At 40.4% G+C, this 17,296-nt stretch overlaps 1 protein-coding gene, 1 long non-coding RNA gene and 1 pseudogene across 8 annotated transcripts in view, besides 2 other annotated features; 1 reads left to right on the plus strand and 2 right to left on the minus strand.

Moving 5' to 3' along the window:
- The window catches only part of DNAJC6 (DnaJ heat shock protein family (Hsp40) member C6), a 151,123-nt gene that overhangs the window by 19,439 nt on the left and 114,388 nt on the right, over positions 1–17,296 (plus strand). The window lies entirely within an intron of this gene.
- The window catches only part of DNAJC6-AS1 (DNAJC6 antisense RNA 1), a 31,160-nt gene that overhangs the window by 5,963 nt on the left and 7,901 nt on the right, over positions 1–17,296 (minus strand). For 2 of the 6 annotated variants that reach the window (XR_947466.4, XR_947461.4), the window contains one exon: positions 14,431–17,042. The exons of 2 other annotated variants lie outside the window; for them this stretch is intronic. This is a non-coding gene — a long non-coding RNA (DNAJC6 antisense RNA 1). Of the gene's footprint in view, positions 1–14,430; positions 17,043–17,296 lie in introns of those variants that run through there. 2 more of the 6 variants (XR_007066153.1, XR_947464.4) reach the window with 2 other exon arrangements.
- Positions 5,310–5,369: a silencer, noted in NCBI's record as "silent region_970". NCBI's record gives its function as "represses an Ori minimal core promoter by ATAC-STARR-seq in GM12878 lymphoblastoid cells {active_cell/tissue: GM12878}" and the evidence as "EXISTENCE:reporter gene assay evidence [ECO:0000049][PMID:35858748]".
- On the minus strand, positions 14,568–14,793 carry COX6CP13 (cytochrome c oxidase subunit 6C pseudogene 13; annotated as a pseudogene).
- Positions 15,110–15,322: a silencer, noted in NCBI's record as "fragment chr1:65764980-65765192 (GRCh37/hg19 assembly coordinates)". NCBI's record gives its function as "represses an EF-1alpha promoter that drives an FKBP-Casp9 reporter gene in an ReSE screen in phorbol 12-myristate 13-acetate-treated (for megakaryocytic differentiation) K562 erythroleukemia cells {active_cell/tissue: K562(+PMA)}" and the evidence as "EXISTENCE:reporter gene assay evidence [ECO:0000049][PMID:32094911]".

Genomic DNA, 17,296 nt, shown 5'->3' on the forward strand with positions numbered 1-17,296 from the left:
CCTCCCACTTCTGACAGGCTCTGCTCCATACAGTGAGGTCTTCTCTCAGAGAGGACCTTACCACCTCTCAACAAGAGTGAGACTGTTCAGTCTGAAGCCCCTCAGCATCTCCTTTCTCCATCTCTGCCTTTCTGTTTCTTGCAGAAGCCAACTCCTCATGTGTGCTTATGTTCCCAGAGAGCCTCCAGCTCCCCAGGGTAGGGATTTATCAGAGGAGTCTATTTTCAGACTTCCCTTCGTCTGTTCTCCTTTTCCTCAGAGTGTCCTTAATGGAACACCCACACCTCTCCTCTAGTACTGAGTCTGTTGAATCAGGATCTCTGGAGGTTTGCAGGGCGGAGAGTCTCTGTTTTTATCAGTCTCCTCAAGGCCTCCAGTGGGGAGTCAGATTCAGAGACGGCTGCCTCAGGGACCCTCTGGGCCCCTCTTCTTCACACTACCCCTCAGTAGTGTTTTCCCCAAATTTTGGAGAACCAAATTATTTTGTTCTGGACTCACTGTTTTTTGTTTTTTTTTTTGAGACGGAGTTTCACTTTTTTTGCCCAGGCTGGAGTGCAATGGTGCGATCTCGGCTCACTGCAACCTCTGCCTCCCAGGTTCAAGCAATTCTCCTGCCTCAGCCTCCCAAGTAGCTGGAATTACAGGCACCCACCACCACGCCTGGCTCATTTTGTATTTTCAGTAGAGATGGGGTTTCACCACGTTGGCCAGGCTGGTCTCGAACTCCTGACCTCAGGTGATCCGCCCACCTCAGCCTCCCAAAGTGCTGAGATTACAGGCATGAGCCACTGCGCCTGGCTGACTCACTGGTTTTAACTCTGTGGTTTTCCATCTGGTTCCTGCATTTCTGCCCAGCTCCTTTAAATTTATATTAATAATTGTAATTATCAGGTTGCTTTGGTTTTGTAGTCTTATTGGCTCCTGCTTTGCAGTGTCATCAGTTTCATCTTTACAAACTCTGATGCTCTAACTTTCTTGCATAAACAGCAGCAATTGCTCTTCTTTCCTTGCACAGAGGTAGGAGTGTTCTCAATATGACCACCATCTGGTTTCCCAGCCTAGGTTTTCACAAATCTCCTATACATGATTTATGTGGCCCCTGAAATGCCTGGCGTACAATTGCTCAGACCATGTTCTTTTTGGATTTTGTTATTGGGCCTCATCTTATTGCCCCTGCCTTAGAAGTACACCTCCCAATTCAGTCTTTGGTCAACTGAAATTTATTCTTTGTCAAAGACCCTTTCCCACAGTTTATTCCCTGCAACGTTTTATGAATTGTTGCCTGAACTAGATGTTCGGTTCTAACAATATATATTACACATGATGCCAAGCACTGTTCTGAGTCATGGTCATATAAGGTGATTGGGAAATGATCCTCACCCCCCCACCAGTGTTCCCAACCATTTTTCCCTTCTCTAGTCTCCCATAGCTTTCTCTCCCCGCACTATGATTGTTTTTTCATTTTCAGCTGTATTTTAGGTTTTTTGTTTTGTTTTGTTTTTTGAGAAAGAGTCTCATTCCGTCACCCAGGCTGGAGTGCAGTGCTGTGATCTCTGTTCACTGTAGCCTCTGGCTCCTGGATTCAAGTGATTCTCGTGCCTCAGCCTCCCGTGTAGCTGCAGTTACAGGCATGTACCACCACACCGGCTAATTTTTGTATTTTTGATAGAGATGGGGTTTCATCATGTTGGTAGGCTGGTCTTCAACTCCTGGCCTCGAGTGATCTGCCCGCCTCGGCCTTCCAAAGTGCTGGGATTAAAGGCATGAGCCACCATGCCCCACTTTATTTTAGGTTTTTGAGAGGAGATAATTTGTCAAACCCAGCACTCTGCCTACCACAAAAGTTGATGTGCAGGATATATTTACGGAATAATTTAACATATCCCTCTACCTCCCTGCCCCAGCAACTTGGAAGGTCAATGAACATGTGCTGAATTAACCCCACTCTTGCTGTGTGTGTATTCTTCTCTCATACAACCAAAACCTAACTTTTGTTAATTAGGGTTCAGCATTAGCCATTTGAATAGCAGAATTCTAAGTTATGTAGAACAGTAGTTATCCTTTTTTTTTTCTTTTTGAGATAGGGTTTTGCTCTGTCACCCAGGCTGAAATGCAGTGGTGTGATCATGGCTCACTGCGACCTCAACCACTGTGGCACAATCCATCCTCCCACCTCAGCCTCCCGAGTAGCTGGGACTACAGGTATGCACTACCACACCTGGTTAATTTTTAAATTTTTTGTGGAGACAGGGTCTCACTTTGTTGCCCAGGTTGGTCTTGAACTCCTGGGCTCAAGCAGTCCTCCTGCTTCAGCCTCCTAAAGTGTTGGAACTACAGGTATGAGTCACTGTGCCTGGCCAGTTATCCTTTTTGTTTGTTTGTTTTCTGTTCACCTACAGATCACTTTTTAGGGTTGAAAAGCCCATGTGCAGAAGACTACAACAGAAAAGATGGTAGGAGTGTGTTGGTTTTGGAGTAACTCTAGTGAGGTGATGAATGTAAATTTAAAATCTTAAGTATACGAAACAGGTTACTAATACATTTGAGAAACAATAAAGGTGCTGCTTATTTATCTTTTACCATGTGCTAGAATTGTGCTAAGTGCTTAGCATATATTAGCTCATTTAAACCTAGTACTAATCCTGAGAGGTATGTTCATTATATTGATGAAGGCCTTGAGGATCAGAATTGTGAAATAACCTGCTAAAATCAGAGAGCTAATAGATAGTGTAGCCAGGATTCCCATATAGGTTTCTTTGATCCCACAACCCATGTTTTCTATGCTGTTTTGCCTCTCTAGATAAAAGCAGAAACTCTCACATTGTAAAGTTAATGCTTACCTAAAATGTATATTTTGAAAGTTATTAAACTTTTACTGACCCATATGAAAATGCCTAAGTCAGTGAGTGAGTGAAGGAATGAATGAGTGAGAGAAAGAGTGAATGAAAGAATAGGGTAGATTGGAAGTACCATATGTACTAGTCTGTCAGATATCCTAATACACTGAAAATCAGATATTTGTGGTGGTATATTTGTGGGAAAATTATCTTAAAAGGATTAAAAGTCCATTAAAAATGCAAACAAATGAAGTAGTGGTAATGTAAAAACATTGAGGGGATAATGAGCTTATATACAAGATTTTTAAAAATGGATACTTAAAAGTTCATCAGTCAGTAGAGTAATAAGATGCTGTTGTAGTTCATTTTGGCCTCACTTCCTTATCTCCTTCTTTAAAAGTCCTTCCTCAGTACCTCTTGAGTAGTGGTTATTTATTCCTATTACAATGTATTTCCTTTCATTTATTTTATCTTTTTAGACTTTGGAGACTAGGTCCATTTTATTAAGCTTCAAGAGATTGAATGAAGAACAATCACTCCCCCATTTACCTACCTCCATTTACTTTGCCATTTAATCTCTTTTATTTATTTTTTTGAGGCATGGTCTTAGCCTGTTGCCCAGAATGGAGTACAGTGGCGCACAATCAGGGCTCACTGCAGCCGTGACCTCCTGGGCTCCAGTGATCCTCCTGCCTCATCCTCCCAAGTAGGTGGGACCACAGGTGCATGCTACCATACCTGGCTGATTTTTGTATTTTTTGTAGAGACAGAGTTTCACCATGTTGCCCAGGCTGGTCTTGAACTCCTGGGCTCCAACAGTCTGCTTGCCTTGGCCTCCTAAAGTGTCGGGATAACAGGCATGAGCCACTGTGCCTGGACTAATTTCTTTTAAAAGGGTGCCATTACATCCCATGAAGTGCTGGGAAGAACACTGGGGGTCTTAGCACTGAGAATGTAAATGCTTATTTGAATTCTGTTTTCAGTGTAATACTCAGCCTTGTACTCTGCCTGGTGTTCCCCTGTCCATTGAACCTCTTGTTGCCCTCTCCAGAGAATAAATCTCTAGTCTTCTGTTGGGGTTGGGGAATGGCAACTGCCCATCTGCATTGTCTGAGGAAGGGGATCTGGGGGTCTGTCTTAGTATTGCCTTCACCTGTCTACATTGCCATCAAATCCTGAGTCCTTAGGGGATTCCACACTGTAACTCAGCTTGCCAGGTTAGGATTTAGCTTAATTCATTCTGTTTTTATTTTCTAAAATTTGTTGCTGTTTTCTCTGAATTCATAAGAAAGTTTTAAAAGGTTTGAAAGAAAAGCAATACAGAGAAGCTTAACTCTAACATGAAAAATTTATAACTAATGGCAACATTGGGAAAAAGCAAGATTGGCAGCATATGAAAGTAAGAACATTGCACAAATGGGCATATTTAGTCAGAATTCTTAGGAGATGAACTGCTAAACATCGGTTTCAGAATCCTACATAATGATTTGTGAGTGTGTGTATGCCCAAAGAACATTGAATTTGTAGGCGAAATTTTAAGTACACAGAAAAGTGTAAAGCATTTATAAAGTGAATACACTGTGTAACTAGCATCCAAATCAAGTAACAGGAGGTTACTAGCAACCCAGAAGCCCCTTTCTAGTTCCTGACAACCCTCCAACCTCTACTAAGAATAACTAATGACCCAATGTTTTACACTGTAGATTCATTTTGTTCATTTTTGAATTTTGTATAAATGGAATCATTTAGTATATGATCTTTTGCTCTCATTTATTTTGCCCAAATTTATGTTTGTGAGACCCATTGTGTGGTAGTTGTAGTTCATTCTTTCTCATTCCTATATAGTATTCCATTAAGGGAATATACTAATTTAGTTTTTTCATTTTGGCAGACATTTCCAGTTTGGGTCTGCTATGAAAAGTACTACTATGAATATTCCCATATGTGTCTTTTGGTGCCCATGTGAACATATTTCTGTTGGTTATATACATATTTCTGTTGGTTATATATGTTAAAAATTACTGGGTCACATGGTATGTGCATATTGAGCTTTAATAGATACTGCCAAACAGTTTTACAAAGTGGTTGTACCAAGTTTTACTCCTCTCAGCAGGGTGTGAGATTTCTAGTTATTCCACATCTTTACCAACATTTGATACTGTCAGTCATTTAAATTTTTTTTTTTCCCCAAGATGGAGTCTCGCTCTGTTACCTAGGCTGGAGTGCAGTGGCACGATCTCGGCTCACTGCAACCTCCACTTTCCAGGTTCAAGCGATTCTCCTGCCTCAGCCTCCTGAGTAGCTGGGACTACAGGCGCGTGCCACCAAGCCTGGTTAATCTTTTGTATTTTTAGTAGAGACGGGGTTTTGCCGTGTTGGCCAAGCTGGTCTTGATCTCCTGACTTCTGATCCACCCGCCTTGGCCACCCAAAATGCTGAGATTACAGATGTGAGCCACTGCACCAGGCCAGTCATTTAAATTTTAGCCATTCTAGTTAGTGTATCTGTCACTGTGGTTTGCATTTGAATTTTCATGATGACTGTGAGGTTAAGCACCTAGTCATAAGTTTATTGGGTATTTGTATGTAGTCTTTTGTGAGAGGCCTGATTATGACCAGCACTTTTATCTAGACTTTCCCAGCCACCAGAACCATAAGATACAAATATGTATTGTTTAAGCTATCTGGTCTATGCTATTTTGTTACAGCAGCCTGAGCTTACTAAGGCAGAGGGGAAGTGCTATTGTACCAGTACCAAACATAGGCCTAAGAGCACTGTGTCATTGTTGTTTTTTTTTTTTTTTGAGACAGAGTTTCATTATGTTGCCCAGGCTGAGATGCAGTGGCATGATCTGGGCTCACTCTAACCTCCACCTTTCGGGTTCAAGCAAATCTCCTGCCTCAGGCTCCTGAGTAGCTGGGATTATAGGCGCCCACTGCCACACCCAGCTAATTTTTGTAGTTTTAGTAAAGATGGGGTTTCACCATGTTGGCTAGGCTGGTCTTGAACTCCTGACCTCAAGTGATCCACCCGCCTCGGCCTCCCAAAGTGCTGGGATTACTGGTATGAGCCACTGCCTCTGTCTGAGCATTGTATGTTAAAACAACACACGTATATATCTTACAGTTCTGGTGGCTGGAAAAGTCAAGATAAAGGTGCCAGCAGATTGCCAAATTTTCAGCTGCGTTTTCTGCCTTTTTTGTACTGATTTGTAGATTTTCTTAGAGATTTATATTGAGTCCTTTGAATGTATGTATTGGAAAAATCTTCTGTCAATGTGGTTTATATTTTCACTTTCTTAATGGTGTCTTTGGATGAACCGAAATTCTTTAATGCAGTCTACTTTATTGATTTGCTTCACAGTTCCTACTTTTTGAGTACTGTTTAAGAATTCTGTTTGCGTCAATATCGTGATATTACTTTATGTAGGTTTTCTTCTGAAAGCTTTGTTTTAGAGTATATTGATTTTTAAAAAATTTAAATGCATTTGTTCACATATCAGCCTGATCTATTGAAAAACACTTAAACACTTAAATAAGCTTAAATAATAACTTTTCCACAAACTATCTATGTGATCTTCGGCAAGGCAGTTAGCATTTTTTGTTGTTGTTGTTTATTTTTAAATTATTACCTTTCCTATGGTGCTGAAGGGCAGTTAGCATTTGAACTTAATTTCTTTAACTATAGTATGATAATAATAATATCCATCTTAGAGTATTGTTGTAAGCATCATGACTATCTAAATGTTAGCTATTATTAAAAAGTCAGCTATTAGCAAAGACATTTTCAGAGACAATTGGAGATACTTAGATATAGATTGGATGTTAGATGACAGTAAGGAATTATTAATTTTGTGTTGTGTAGGAAAATGTCCCCATTAGGAAATGCATCATGAAAAATTAAGAGGTGAAGTAAAATGTCTCAATTCATTCTTTAAAAGTTCAGCAAAAACAATAAAATCCCAAATATCTAGATAAAGCAAACTTGCAAAATGTTTCAAATTATTGAATTTTTTGTTTGTTTGTTTGAAGTGGAGTCTTACTTTGTCACCCAGGCTGGAGTGCAGGGCACTATCTTGGCTCACTGCAACGACCGCCTCCTGGGTTCAAGTGATTCTCTTGCTTCAGCCTCATGAGTAGCTGGAATTACAGGCATACACCACCACACCTGGCTAATTTTTGTATTTTTATTAGAGACGGGGTTTCACTATGTTGACCAGGCTGGTCTCGAACTCCTGAACTCAAGTGATCCACCCACCTTGGCCTCCCAAACTGCTGGGATTACAGATGTGAACCACCATGCCTAGCCAAATTATTGAATTTATACATTAGATATGTAGATATTCATCATGTGAAATTCTTTCAGCTTTTTTGGTATGTTTGAAATTTTCATAATAAAATATTCAAGGAAAGTTAGTAATGAATCTATAGCATTCCTATTATTTAACATTTTCTCCAAAGCTAAAGGTGCAGAAGGACCTAATTAAATGGATTTGAGTCACTTAGCCTGTTCTGCCTGGGAAAGGAGATTAAAATGAATTTAAAATAAAATGTGAACTATATCCCTGCATACTTGAGTGGGATAAAGCTGAGCCATAAAAATCCAGGTTTTACTGGGTGTAGAAAAAAGGAGAAGGTGAGGAAGGGGTATGAGATGTACTGAGTGCTGTTAAGGGTCAGATACTCTGCTGGGTGCTGTAAATATCACCTATCATTCATAAAGCAATTCTACGAGGTAAGCAATATTAGAAAAGTTTGATATGAAAAGTTTGATAGAAAAGCTTTGGATAACTTGACTAACACAACTAGTGGATAGTGGAGTGAGGATTTGTACCCAGATCTGTGTTTTTGCACACAGATCTGTTTTTGCTTTTCTTCTTTCGTTCCTACTTTCCTCTCTCCCTCCCACCGTTGTCACTTTTTTCCCACCTTCACTCCCTTTCCTTCGTTCTTCCTTTCTTTCTGACTTCTTTACAAATGTTTTTATTTTTTATTTACTTTTTACTTTTTGAGATGGAGTTTCGCTCTTGTTGCCCAGGCTGGAGTACAATGGCGCGATCTCAACGCACTACAACCTCTGCCTCCCAGGTTCAAGGAATTCTTCTGCCTCAGCCTCCCGAGTAGCTGGGATTACAGGTGCCTGCCACCACACCTGGCTAATTATTTGTGTTTTTAGTAGAGACGGGGTTTCACCATGTTGGCCAGGCTGGTCTTGAACTCTTGACCTCAGATGATCTACCCACCTTGGCCTCCCAAAGTGCTGGGATTACAGGCATGAGCCACCGCACCCGGCCTGGTTTTTTTTTTTTGTTTTTTTTTTTTAATGAATATTACGCTTTTCATTGTAGAAACTCTGGAAAACACGTTTGTATTAATTTAGGTTTTGCTACATAATAAACCACCCCAAACTTTTTTCTTTTTTCCTGAGACAGGGTCTTGGTGTATTGCCTAGGCTGGGGTGCAGTGGCATGAATGTGGCTCATTACAGCTTCGACTTCCTGGGCTCAAGCAATCCTCCTGCCTCAGTTTCCTGAGTGGCTGGGACCACAGGCACACACCATCATGCCTGGCTATTTTCTTTAATTTTTTTTTGTAGAGATGGGGTCTCATCATGTTGCCTAGGCTGGTCTCAAACTCCTGGGCTCAAGTGATCCTCCTGCCTTGGCTTCCCAAAGTACTGGGAATATAGGTGTGAGCCATTAGACCCAGCCAGTTTTTTTATTTTTTATTTTTATTATTTTACACTGTGTTGAGATAACCACCCCCAAAATTAGTGGCTTAAGACAGCATACATTCAGGTCACAATTCTGCTGGCAGTAATTTAAATGGGCTCAGAGGGCAGTTCTTCCAGTCTGGGCCAACCTCAGCTGTTGTCATTGGGGCTCACTCAAACGTATGAGGCATCAGCTGGGATGTCAGGATCAGCTCCTCCATGTGGCCTCCCATCCTACAGCAGACTAGCTTGGGCTTGTTCTCTTGGAGAAGGAGAAGAGGAGCCAAGAGAGCAAGCAGAAATCCACAATGCTCTTGGGCCTGTGTCTGGAGCTGGTAAAACAGTACTTCCCCTCTGCCTCAGTCAGCTCAGGCTGCTGTCACAGAACATCATAGACTGGATAGCATAAACAACACACACTTATATCTCACCATTCTGGTGGCTGGGAAAGTCAAGATAAAGGTGCTGGCAGATTCAGTTGCTATGAGGACCCTTATCCTGGCTTGCAGAAGGCTGCTTGCTGTCTTCTCATTGAGTCCTCACATGGGGGTAGATGGGGTGTGTGTGAGAGAGAGCCAGAGAGACAGTGAGCACATGCTCTGGTGTTTCTTCTTTTCCTTATAAGGACACTAATCCCATGATGGGGGCCCTACCCACATAACCTCATTTAAACGTAATCATCTTCCAAAGGCCCCCATCTCCAAATACTACCACACTGGGAGTTAGGCCTTCAACATAGGAATTTTGGAGGGACACAGACACTCCCCAACACCCTCTATTGTACAAAGCAAGTCACAAGGCCAGCCCAGATTCAAGGAGTGAAGAAGTGTACCCTACCTCTTGGTGAGAAGAAATATAAAATAATATTGCATTGTGATATGGGTGGCAGCAAGTGAGGGTGAGTGGGATGAATGTTTGCAGCCATTTTTGCAAACATTTTTTCATAACATACAAAAATAAACATCTACTTTAAGTCATTTCTAATACCATTATCAAGAGCTAATTATTGTTAATATGTTGGTCTATGCACAAATAGGGGCAGATATGCACGTACAGAGGCATAGTTTTGTCTGTACACATACAGAGGCAGATTGCTTTTAAGAATATAATTTTCATTTAGAATCAAACTTATGTTCTATTAGTGTATTTTCCCAGGTATTAAATTTTCCTTGAAAACATGTTTACCCTATGATGCAAAGGAAATCAACATAAATTACTATGTTCCAGGCATTGTGCTAAGCACTTTCACTCAGTTATCTTAACTAAAAAACAAGTTTCTTGTTAATTTGCAGGGTTAATTTGCATCAAAACAAGGAATTCATTTGTTGCTACAAAGAAAAAGCAATGAAAGGACTTTGTGAAAAGGTTCAGAGAAAATGATAATGGTTAAGACATATCAGCAATACCCATTTTTCTCTTGAAACCTGACTTGTGAACTATAACAGAAAATACAGAAGATAAATCCTTGTACCTATTGCCCACCAATCCAGTCTTTCCATTTTATAGGTGAAGTCATGTCATTATTTATGTATTTGTTTGATTTGGCTGTATTTCAGGATCATGTTGAACATCAGTTCTTATTGTATGGGTAACATAAATAAGAAGCAGAAAATGTAGAGGGCAAAGGCCAAAGTTTGATCCTGGGCTTGGGACTGATTAGTTGTTGACTATGAAAAAAAAATCACTTAATTTTTTTGAGTTCAATTTTATCATCTGTAATTACAAAAGCTTCAATCTTCTTAAAATTGGTGTGAAGATTGACTACAGCATTTTATATCTGCACTGTCTGATGTAGTAGCCACTGGCTATAAGTGGCTATTGAGCATTTGAAATGTGGCTAGTCCAATTGAGATGTGCTGTAAGTATAAAATACACAGTAGATTTTGAACACTTAGGTGGAAAAATATATAAAATATCTTATTGATTACATGTTGAAATGGCAATATATTGTACCCATTGAGTTAAATAAAGTGTTATTAAAATTAATTCACTTGTTTATTTTTTAAATTCACTTGTAAAAATTTATTTTGGCTGCTGGAAATTAAAATATTACACATATGGCTCACATTATATTTCTGCTGGACAATGTTTTGCTTAAAAAATGTTCTCTGTACAATATAGAGTACAGCATAAATGTTAGTTATAGCCAGAAAAAAAGTATAGGAGGTTTAGTTGAATATGTAAGGATTCTAAGTGGTAGCATGATGCTTATTATTTTTGCTACATTTATAATGTAAGCTTTTATTTAGGCATCTGAAGTTTTTCTTTTTATGTGTTATAGAGAAGTAGGGATGGAAGTGCTAATCCAATTATGTGAGGAAATCATAATAACTTCAGTGTATTGAGCTACAGTGATGCAGGCATTGTGTTAAGTACTGTATTAGGCAGGATTCCTTTGATTACAAGTGACAGAGATGCAATCTGAATTAACTAAATTGAAAAAGGGGGATCTTGTAATTGTATGAAGCATGGGAGTGCATCTGGGTCTCCTGAATTTCTAGAATATAAACACTGTTTTTCCTATATACCTATCTTCCTCTCTCAAATTTACTTCTCCCTCCTCAGCAGCATTGTTCTCTCAGATCACTTGTCTCCATATGTCAGAAAGAATGGCTCCTTCAACCTCTGTGTGTCATCTTTGCTCTAGGGAAGGATAGACTCAGACTTGCTCTTTCTGGTTTTAAATGGAAAAGTCCTGTGAAAAAGCCATGGTTGACCTAGCTTGGTTATAGGTACCTATCCCTGGGCTATGGCAGCTCTAACCCAACCACAGAAGAGAATTTCCCAGAAAAAGGGACCATTCTTCTTGGTTGATAAAAGAATAAATGTACACTATAGCTACTCTAGCTAATTTAATATGTACAGCCAATCAGTAGGGTAGTACCTCAATGAACAAATGAGAAACTGAGACTCAGAAAAGTTATGTATTTCATTCAAGTTCAAATATCCAGGCTGGAAGTCTGGGTCTGTCCATCTCCAAAGCCCATGTTCTTAACTACCACACTGAGAAAGTTCTAGTAAATGGGGTTTGTGTCGACTTAAGTTTTACTGAATTATTTAATAGGTCTTTGCTATTTTTTTCCTCCTATCATTGCTTCCCATTGAAAGTTAAGATAGATTGAGGACAAGGGAACTGGCCCCATGGTAATACTCAGTAAATCCTTATGGAATTGAAAACCAACACCACTATGCTCTCCAATCTTGTGACCAAGGCTATAAAGGCGTTAGAAAAGCACTGCTATCATTATCTTTGTACCATGAGCTTAAGACATAGTTACCACTACTTGGACATTTCCTTTTTGTAATTTGCAGTCTTCTGCCTTCTTTTGAAAACTTCTTATTTTTCACCAACACATGGTTCCCTATAGTCTATACCACATGGGCATAGAGATTTCAGAGGCAAAGATGAAAGAGTCATACTCTGTTATTCATAAATAAAATATAGCCAAAGGGAATTTTAAAAAATGATGATCTGTAAGTCTTTCAGAAAAATGGTCTGGAGTTTGTCAGTCTCCTACTCGGATCAAAAATAAAGTCAAAGTTTTCAACTAAAATAATTGCAATAGGCTACAAATCTGTTTGTCTACTTTAATACAGTAGAAATGGAAAGTAGAAGTAAGTGACAACTTTATTGGCTGAATTCATATTAAGCAGTGTGATGGAATGCTGAGAACTCTGACCCGGACTGGTCAGAAAACCAGTCTCCTATATGTAGCTCTGTGACCTTAATCAGTAATAAGTACAAAGGCTAACTAACCTTCATTGGGTGCTAAACAGCGTAGAACATCTTTTCATAGGTTGTTGACTGACTCTGCCCAGTGGCAGTAGTTATTCATTCATTCGACACATCTTTTTTTTTTTTTTTTTTTGAGACGGAGTCTAGCTCTGTCACTCAGGCTGGAGTGCAGTGGCGCGATCTTAGCTCACTGCAACATCCACCTTCTGGGTTCAAGCAATTCTCTGCCTCAGCCTCCTGAGTAGCTGGGATTAAAGGCGCACGCCACCACGCCTGGCTAATTATTTGTATTTTTATTAGAGACGGGGTTTCACCATGTTGGCCAGGCTGGTCTTGAACTCCTGACCTCGTGATCCACCTGCCTCGGCCTCCAAAAGTGCTGGGATTACAGGAGTGAGCCACCACGCCCAGCCTCATTCAGCACATCTTTATCAGGCATCTACCCTGTGTCAGGCATGGAGTTAGGTACCAAATATGGTTCTGCTATCATGGAGCTTACAGTCTGGTGTGGGAAGTCATACATGTAAACAGGCAATTTCAGTGTAGCATGTTGTAAGTGCTATGTTAGAAGAAGTAGACTGTTCTATGGGACCTCATAAAATGATATCAAACGTGGTTTTGAGAAATTGGATGGTTTCCTGGGACATGCTGTCCATTTAGGGATCTGAAGGGCAGGCTGGGATTGGCCAGGTGGGGGATCACAACAAAGCTCTTTGTCTGGACTTAGAAAGAGGTTGGGAAGGGGGAAGTGGTGAAGGCTGAGGGCTGAGTCTTGAGGGAAATTAGCTGGTCCTAGAATGCAGAGTCCATTATGCTGACTACCTTTGACTGAGGGTGATAGGAAACCCTTGAATAGTTTTAAGCAACTGAGTCACATAATTAGATCTGCATTTTAGAAAGCTGAGATGTGAATCAATTTTTTCATTTTTCTGTCTTGATTTTCTTATCTTTAAATTGAAAGGGATAGTCTACCCTTTATAACTCTGTCCAGCTTTAGTAGTCCATACATTTCTCCTATTTTGGCAAAACTTAATGAAACTGCCTTTGCAAAAATTATAACAGTGAGAAAATTATGACAGTGACAGATCTGACTTAATGACTCCATTTTGCTATTCTAACCTTCAAGCTGCCCTTGTTCATTGTTGGGCGCAGGCTGAACTAAGTTTGGGAGGAACTTAGTTTAACCTTGAAACAAAGATGATAACAGCCCTTCTTGCCTGAAACCAGACTGCCCATGTAGGACTAATAAATTAGCTGCAAGATTGGAAATGTAGGTTTAGGAGTCCTGTAGCCGGAGGCTGCAAGTTCTGAACCTCCCCCATTGCTCCTTGGGGTAACATCATTATTGTGAAACCTAAGATTGGTCTGAGATGTTTTTCAGACCTTGCATTCTGAGGCACCAGCTGGCGCCACCCAGACTGGTAATCTGGCACAACCAGTTCTGCAGTGCCTCCCAGGAACAGAAGACAGCAAGAAGAACCCACTTTAACCCCCTATGATTCCATCTGTGACCCAATCAATCAGCACTCCCCACTCCCTGGCTCCCCCTACGTGCCAAATCATCCTTTAAAAAAAACCCTAGTGTCTGAATTTTCCAGGGAGACTGAATCGAGTAATAAAACTCTGATCTCCCATTCAGTTGGCTCTGTGTGAATTACACTCTTTCTCTATTACAATTCCCCTGTCTTGATAAATTGGCTCTTATCTGGGCAGTGGGCAAGGTGAACTAGTTGGATGATTACGTTACTTCCATGCTGATTTTGAGATCTGTTGGGCAGCAAGGCCTAAGATTACAACTAGTACTTGAAAATGAGGCAAGTTTTGTGGGTCTAGGGTGGGTGAAGGTGGGAGGTGAGGTGAGGACAAGAAGCTGAATGAATGATGTGTTGTTTTTACTGGGAAAAAAGGAAATGGGAAGGTATGCAGTTTCCTTTGACAGTCTCCTGAAGAGAAACTGGTTAGGAAATAGCTTTGGCCTCTCAGCAAGCAGGTGGAATGGTACTTTGCCACAATTCTAGTACAGATGAAATCTGATAGTTACTTCCCCCAAATTATGAAGTCTGGAATTTGCTTAACGGTAGTAGTTAGGGGTCTATACATATGAAAAAAGACTGACCATGACTTTTTTTTTTTAACCGTTCAAAGTGTTTGTTAATTATTTATTAAGATAAACAATTTCTTAGCCCACATATTCATGTTTCACAGATAGTTCAGGAACACAGGTACAGTGACAAACTTCTATGTAATTCAACCCAAAGAAATACTTTATGTTCCAAAATCACTTTGTACTCTGAGAGATATTAGCCTTCCTCATCTCAAATTCTTTAATTCAATTATAATTTCTGTAGAAATCTGCATATGCCTTCTTTCTTGGTCAGGCCACAGCAAACTTACAGAGAGCTGCAACCCCAGGGTTATAAGGAATGCTCCAACAATATGAAATGACAGATGCTTGGCCAGAAGGCCACACATCCCAGGTTACACCAAGGCACTGAGAGCCATGGTAGTTATTGTCCTTGACAGGGATGTCAGCATCAACACTAATGTCTTTCCCGGATGATGGAGAAATGGACCAACTTGATAAGTATTGATGCTGAGTGATACATACAAAGAAGTCCATTATATGATTTTCCCTACTTTTGAATATGTTTGAAAATTTCCCTAATAGAAAGTAAAAAGATAGAATAATAAAATAAAAATACCCCCACTTATTACCTAAGTTTTCTTTTAGCACAAATGGAAAATAAGTCAGACTCTCTCATTTGGCCATATTGAAGCTAATAGTCTCAGAACCACTGTGTCATAACACTGACATTTTGCTTAAAGCTCTGTATCACCTTTAATGGCTTAAAATATTCTAGACTGTATTGAGATCATGCAAGTAGATCAAAGAAAGAGAATTACACGCAAAGGAAGGGATAGCTGTACTAGGGAGTTCACTGGTAACAGAGTCAGGGGTCCACAGCTCTGGGCTGGGTCTGTCCTGAAAGGCAGTCTCTGGATAGCAGGATGAGATGGAGTGATCACTGGCTTTGGAGTCAGACACAATAGACTGAGCTATGTTGAAGGACAATGACAAATAACACAATAGATAGCATTCATTGAACCCTCACTATATGCCAGGCCTTATGCTAAGCTCTTTATGTACTTTATGTTATGCAATTTTAATAACTACCCTGTTTTTATTAGTATTTTATGGATGAGAAAACACAGGTTTAGAGGTTATCAAATTTGTCCATGACCACATGAACTTGTAATTCCCAGTAAATATTTTTGTAAATAAATATCTGAAAGTGTCCAGGCACGGTGGCTCATGCCTGCAATCCCAGCACTTTGGGAGGCCGAGGTAGGCGGATCACCTGAGGTCAAGAGTTTGAGACCAGCCTGGCCAACATGCTGAAACCCCGTCTCTACTAAAAACACAAAAGAATTAGCTGGGCATGGTGGTGTGTGCTTGTAATCCCAGCCACTTGGGAGGCTGAGGCAGGAGAATTGCTTGAACCCGGGAGGTGAGTCAAGATTGCGCCACTGCACTCCAGCCTGGGCAACAAGAGTGTGAAAACTCCATCTCAAAAAAAAAAAAAAAAAAAAGAAAAAAAGTCTGAAATCCAGTGGTTAATGGTGGTAGGTTGTACCCCAGTTAGTTTGGATGCACATAACAGAAAAAAGCAAAATAACAGTGGCAAAATAATAACTAAGTAGTTTGTTTTTCTCTCACCTCTAAGTAATCTAGAGGTAATCAGTCTAGGGTTGCTAGGGCTCTCTGGAGCTCGGGGTTCTTCTATTTTACTGTTTCATTGTGAATGTCTTCCACCCTCAAGGTTAACTCATGGTCCAAGTACCTGCTGGAGCTCCATATTCCAACTAGAAGAAAGGGAGAAGGATTGGAAGGACATACCACCTACCCTCCTTTTTAAGGATCCATACCAGAAATTGCACATATTATTTTTGCTTATAATTACAATGGCTACAACTTAGTCCTATGTATGCATCTAGTAGATTACAGAAAACTTGCATGTGGCAGGTCCAAGACATGAAAGAGACTGAAAAATATTTATACTATGTGGCCACATGCCCAGCTAAAGGGCACAGAAGCATAGAAGATGGAGAGCAACATTGAGGATCACTAGCAATCACTGCTTAGCCCACACTCAGCTGCATTCCAGAGTTTTATCTCTTTGGGTATGGTAATCCTTCTCACGAAACCTTTCACATTCGAATGGATAAATACATGAAAAACCCATGCACTTAGTTTAGTGTTCAGAAAATGCTAGTTCCTTCCCTTTAATTAGATGTTGTCAAGTGAGCAGCAGTGATTTGGTGCTCTGGAGACTCAGCACCCTAAGAATTTGTTCCACCTGTGTCTGGGGTGGTGACTGCCTTCTGCATCACCATCTTAGAGGATTTGCCCCAAGTTCTACATCCTCTATGGCCCAGCACCCTGTTAGGTACAATGGGGTTGCAAAATGAAGCATCCAGATTTTAAGGATCTTGAACATAAAATCACACATAATGGGCTCAGGGCCAAACATGGGACTATCCAGGATTTAGGAAAACTTTCACTTCAGTGTTGGTTTGCAGCTGACTTTGGGAAACTATTTACCACATAAAAATTTCCAGTGTTTTCTTCAAGACTGAGAGAAGTCGATCACAGAACCAGCCCACTTGAGAAGCTGAAGTTTTCCTACTTGTAAAATGACAGATGAAAAGGACTGATGCTTCCATGAGTTGCTCTTGAAATGGTAATGTAGGTGTATCTGTGTGTGGAAAAACACACTCAAAGTGCCTTTTCTTATTTTCTCACAACAAAAATCAACACAAATTAAAGGCTTCTGTGATCAAATGGGCACTTCCCCCCCCACAAACAAACAATCAATTCTGCAGTGGACACCAGCTGCGTGTCCTCCAATTCTGAAACTATCTACCAGGAGATAAGTGTCAGATACCACTGACACAGTCCCCAAAACTGCTCCCCCAACCTACCACCTCCACTTTCAGACACCAGTTGCAA

Source organism: Homo sapiens, chromosome 1, assembly GCF_000001405.40.
Source record: "Homo sapiens chromosome 1, GRCh38.p14 Primary Assembly".
Classification (NCBI taxonomy): Eukaryota; Metazoa; Chordata; class Mammalia; order Primates; family Hominidae; genus Homo; species Homo sapiens.